This window comes from Homo sapiens, chromosome 10 (assembly GCF_000001405.40).
Source record: "Homo sapiens chromosome 10, GRCh38.p14 Primary Assembly".
NCBI classification, from domain to species: Eukaryota; Metazoa; Chordata; class Mammalia; order Primates; family Hominidae; genus Homo; species Homo sapiens.
This window is the reverse complement of record NC_000010.11, coordinates 58,826,715-58,832,714: the sequence shown is the minus strand read 5'-3', so window position 1 is coordinate 58,832,714 and position 6,000 is coordinate 58,826,715. Positions and strand designations below refer to the sequence as shown.

At 37.2% G+C, this 6,000-nt stretch overlaps 1 protein-coding gene across 11 annotated transcripts in view; it reads right to left on the bottom strand.

Moving 5' to 3' along the window:
• The window catches only part of BICC1 (BicC family RNA binding protein 1), a 319,216-nt gene continuing 314,495 nt past the window's right edge, over nucleotides 1,280-6,000 (bottom strand). For all 11 annotated transcript variants that reach the window (XM_047425780.1, XM_047425781.1, XM_047425778.1 and 8 more), the window contains one exon: nucleotides 1,280-3,954. In XM_047425780.1, coding sequence (XP_047281736.1) covers nucleotides 3,824-3,954 — 131 coding nt within the window. In that variant the 3' untranslated portion in view covers nucleotides 1,280-3,823. The remainder of the gene's footprint in view (nucleotides 3,955-6,000) is intronic.

The window sequence follows — 6,000 nt, the reverse complement described above, 5'->3', positions numbered from 1 at the left end:
GGCTTGTTTCAACATGGTGGGTACTTTTTACAGGATTTTTTTTTTTTTTTTTTTCAGATGGAATCTCACTCTTTGCCCAGGCTAGAGTGCAATTATTGTGATCTCGGTTCACTGCAACCTCTGCCTTCTGGGTTCAAGCAATTATCCTACCTCAGCCTCCCGAGTAGCTGGGACTACAGGTGTGCACCACCACGTCAGGCTAATTTTTATATTTTTAGTAGAGGTGGGATTTCACCATGTTTGCCAGGCTGGTCTTGAACCCCTGACCTCATGTGCTCTGCCTGCCTCAGCCTACCAGAGTGCTGAATTACAGGCATGAGCCACTATGCCCAGCCACTTTTAACAGTTTTGTTAAAAACAGGTTTCTAGAGAGCTCTCTCGAGTTCCCTTGGAGTGTGGTAAACATATGGAGGCCCACATGAAGGGTGGGGATATTCCATCCTCCAACCTCTCCCTCTTTAGCGCCACCTTTCTCTGTTTAGAATTCAAGTTCAAGGAGGGCAAGGGGTTTTGTTTTATTCACTACTGTTCCTAGACCAGAGCCTGACACTATTTATGTGTCATTAATATGTATATAATGAACCAAATAAATAATAAATGAATAATTTAATATTGGGTCACAGGTAAGATTCCAATTATCAAAAGAATTTTTGTTTTAGAAACAATGTTTAAGAACCACTGGCATAGATAATTCAAGTGGAAATATTCCTGGGGGCATAGTATGTGGAGGGCTAGGTTTTCTTTAAGATTTAGCAAAATCTCAGAATAAGTAAGAGCGTCCATTCCATTTAGCATGAGTCCAGTGAGCATCTCAGTGCATGGCATGGTAAACACACAGTGTGATAGATAACACAATGGCAGTCTCTGAAAGGGGAACCTGGATCAAAAAGCCCAGTATCACGTCATTCTTTGCTGATAAATGAGGTTGTCAAAGCGGTCATACACTTGAGTCTTTATAAAAGAAAGAAATAACAAGAATAAAACCTGTTCTATAATGGTACTCTTTTGTATGTACCTATGGGTGGCCAAAGAAACAATGATTGATGACTGGTCCTGCATTCACTGCCTAAAATAAAGTGCTTTAGTTTCTGGTTGAAAATGAGGAATGTCAATGCAAAACAAGAGAACACAGAATGCATATTCAATTCTACTGAAGAAACATCTTTCAACTTTGCCAAAAATGGCAAAAAAAAAAAAAAAAAAAAAATTTCTTAGAAAACAAAGACAGGCATAGAGTTTATGCATAAAGATTTTCTTTTAAAAAAAGACACGCTTCATATAGCAAGAGCAATACAAAGGGGTTATATAAATTTATTTTTCATGTAACAATTGATTCAGTTAGAAAAATTTCCCATTTTCAATGTTAATTCCATCTCTCGTTTTTGGAAAAAAATCACTAAAAGGACAAAAACCCACAGAAAAATACAATCTGTATCTGTTCTATATTTACAGATAACCAGTCATTATTAAGGCGCAGATTAAAAGTTAACATTTATTCAAATCATCAAAATATTTTGTGCATCATATAACAACAACTCTGTATACTGTAGTGTCATATTCCCTTCATTGCATCAAGAGAAAGTGAGAGAAAGAATTTCCAGTGTTTTTATTTATTTTTAGCCACCCTACTTAATCTAATTTAAGTGGGACAGTTTTCCCTTTGGCATATCAAAGCACTGTTCATAAATCAACTTAATACTGCATATTCATTACATCTTCCTCCTGTTGCAAATGCATGGTAGACAGCTGGGAAAAGAGCTCCAAGATTATTATCTGGGAAGGTCTTATTAAAAGCATAACAACATTTAGAGTACTGAGTTGTTGAACAGGACATAAATCTGGTATTGTTAACCTGTACTACATGTTTAGCATGATGCATTAATACAATCAAATAAGATGGATGATCATCACATGATCCACATGACCATTTGTACACATATGCACAGGATGAGTAAAGGGAGTGATTCAGTTCAACATCCTTAAGCAGATAAGGCTTAGTTTAGCTTAAAAAGGGCAGTCCCTCGGTGCCAGTTATAATTGATAATTTTATGACAGGCCCATTATCTATGCCTTCAAGGTAACCAATACCATTTTTTAAAGTGAGAATGTTTCTGTGTGCAAAATGCCTCTTCAATTCTTGTTCTTACTGTAATGGTCAGACTCAGCCATGGAAAAGTGTCAGGCAAGTATTTCTTATCCCATATTTGTATAAAAGTACCCAATTCTTGTATATGCTTATCTAATGCCTTCTGCTGAGAGCACGTGAGAGTGGTTTATGTCCATGTAGAAAATCTTGACTACTGAACATAAATAACTCTTTACAGTACAGGTAACTTGACAACATTTCCTATGGGAAAGTTTTCTAACAAATTAATATACTTGGAAATAATATTGCTTTGAAGAAAGAAAGGCACTTTAGTGTTTCTTCATGGATTAAAAACACTTCATAAATCTATAAGATCTCTGAAAAGACCCAGGAAACAATGTTGCCTGATTTCTTGGACTTTCACAGTATAAGATTGTAATAATGACTCTAGCCACTTAAAAAGATATATTTTTTTTTTCCTTCAGAACTTAGCTGTCTTTATGAACTGCCACCCTGGAGGCTCAAATAAGCCTGTTCATTCTCAACAAACATAAGTCTACTTCAAGCAGACAGATACGGTTTCAGGAAAGTCCTGTGGCCATACGGAACATAGCTAACGTGTACATGATAAGGATTGTAATCTATTTCTCCTTATAATGGCAACAGTGCTGTCTTGTCAGATGATTATTTGTCTTTTTAAATAAAGTGACAATCTCGGGCTCCAGTTATTGAATGTCGTCCATTCTCTACCATAAATCTCTAGTAAATATCAATTTCATCAATTATGTACTGTATGCTTATAATATCTAAAAATAAAAGTTTGATATAAATAAATGTCCTTTAGTGGCAATATACTAAAAAACAGCCCTTTGCCTCCAGACAACCATTAAAATCATTTTAGCATTACAGGCAGCAGCTAAGTATGACGACTGCAAAGGGTTAATACTGCAAAGTCCATTTGGTCTTTCTTTGCACCTATTACTGTGAACTAGGTCCATTGCTAGGTGTTTCTAGGATGCTAACATACATGAAACAGAATTGGTCCAGAAGCAAGTGGACTCACTTACATTTCCCAAAATCACAGAATATTCTGCACAGAAACTAAGATCCAGTACCATTTCAAATAAAAGTTTGATGCAGTCAGAAAAATGTGACTAACTCTTATCTGTACCAACATATTAGGTGACACAAAAATGAGAGAGATGGAGACAGCGAGAACTTCCATAGGACAAGAAATTAGAACGTGTAAAGTGCTGAAAGACCACAATAATTATTTTAAAGCAGTACCAGAAAATTCCACTTTGATTATTTTTTAAAAATCCCCAAATACCCAAACAAAACAAGCAAACAAAATAACTTCTAAGTCTTCTGGCATCCCAGATGTCAATTCATCCTTCATTTTAAGTAAAAAAAAAAAAAAAAAAAAAAAAAAAAAAATCATCAGTGCATATGTTATATAGGTAAATAAAAACAGGAAATAAAGCCCTATCCTTATATTGCAAATTCTGTCCAACTGCCATTTTAAAAAAGTAATCCATATTTGGTGTTCTGTATGACATCATAAGAACATCTTCTCTCTCTTCTTCCTTTTTGCCATAAAGTACAGGTGCGAATAAAATGCTTTGGTCCTGATACCAGACACCCAGAGTGCTAAGGATGGTGTGCTGTGAAGGCTGTTCATACATCTCCTGTGTCCACTTTACAGTTAGTCAGCGGGCATGTGCCAAGAGGGTGCTGCTACCAGCGGCCACTGACACTAGCAATGTCTGAGTGATACTGACGGGGTAGCCTTCCACTCGCTCCACCTTCCAGGAAAGAGGTGCGTGCATTTGGCGATTCAAAAAGCTTTCTTCGGTTTTTATTTAGTTCTAGAGAGAGAAAGAGAGAATTGTTAGGAGCTCAAGAGAAGTTCTATGTATACTACAGGACATGGCACTAGAGCTCAGAAAATGGTGACGTGGTAGGTTTTTTGAGGAAAGTCAAGTCTGGTATCAAAAGGAAAACTTTTAGTTGATGGTCAAGGCATTTCTGAAATACTAGAAAGTATGGTATTAAAGATAGCATATTGATAGTCTAGAGAACAAAGGACAGCAAATAGTTTTTGTTGCAACTCATAAACTCCTGACAGCAAACAGTTTCTATTATAGTTTGTAAACTGTATTGGAGGATATACCATTCTCAGAACGCTCTAACCAAATTAAATAGTTTGACCTACTCCAAAGGTCATTTCAGAGGCAAGGAGAACAAGCTAAGCTCGTGAAAGGACGTATGACTGATGGCACAGAAAATTATTACAGCTACTGAACTCATTCATGTCAAACATGGCAATCATTTAGTTTTATTAAAGTCAGATATGAAAAAGAAGACCCCATACCTAAGCACAGGGATATTGGAGGAGCACCCTGAAGAACAGCTGACCCTTGAATAATGCAGAGGTTGAGGTACCAAACCCCTCCTGCTCCCATGTAGTCAAAAATCCATGTATAACTTTTGACTCCCCCAAAACTTTACTAACGGCCTACTGTTGCCCAGCAGCCTTACCAGTAAGTTGATTAACACATGTTCTGTATGTTATATGTATTTTATACTACATGTTTACAATAAACTCAGCCAGAGAAAATACTAAGATAATCATTAGGAAGAGAAAATATATTTACTTATTCATTAAGTGCAAGTGAATCATCAGAAAGTCTTCATCCCTGTTGTCTTCACGTTGAGTAGGTTGAGAAGGAGGAGGAGAAGGGGTTGCTCTTGCTGTTTCAGGCATAGTAGAGGCTCAATAGGTAGTGGTGGTGGAAGGAGAGGCAGGCACATTTGGTGTAACTTTACAAAAATACATCATAATTTCTGTCTGCCATTTTTGCTTTTTTCATTTCTTTAAAAATGTTTCTATATGGTACTAGTCATTCTTCCACTGTTTTATCATAGAAGAATCCATGTCATTAAAAAAATCAGAAGTAGTCTTGAATAATCGGAACTCTTCTGCCAGACTGTCTAACATCAGTTGCTTTCTGGCACTGCTTCTTCTATGTCTTCCTCATCGTCTGGCACTGGTTCAGAAACATGCATCGCCATCAAGTCATCTCTATTAATTCCTCTGGTGTGGTATCTATTAGCTCCTGAATTTCTCCAAGATCTGATATTGAAATCCCTCACTCACCCTTTACCTTTATTTATTATTTTTTTTGCCATATCCACAATTTCTTTCATGATTTTCTTGACTGGCTCTATGGTAAATTCTGTGAAGTCGTGCACAACATCTGGACACAGTTTTTTTCCAGCAGGAATTCATTGTTTCAGGCCTGATGGCTTCACAGCTTTTTCTGTATCAACAATGACATCTCCAATGGTGTAAACCTTCCAGCTTTTCATAATGTTTTCTCTATCTGGGTTCTCTTCTACAACCTTGACAATCCTTTCCATAAAGTACCATGTGTAACAATCCTTTAAGGTCCTTATGACCACCTGATCTAGAAGCTGAATTAGAGACTTTGTGTTTGGAGACAAGTTAACTAGTTTGACGACTCTGATGTTAAACACATGGGGTTTTCAGTGGCCAGGGGCATTATCCAACATCAAAAGAACTTTAAAAGTCAGTCTTTTACTGGCAAGTTACTTCCTGACTTCAGGGAAAAAGTATCAATGGAAACAGTCTAGAGAAAACATTCTTGTTATCCATGCCTTCTTGTGCTACAACCAAAAGACTGGCGGCTGGTGTTAATCTTTTCCCTCCAAGGCTCAAGGGTGGGCAGCTTTATAGATAAGGGCAGTCCTGATCATAAACGTGACTGCATTCGCACAAAACAGCAGTCAGCCTATCCCTTCCTGTCTGAAATTCGGGTGTTTGTTTCTCTTTCTTCTTTTTTCTTTTTGGGACAGTCTCGCTCTATAGCCCAGGCTGGAGTGCAGTAGTG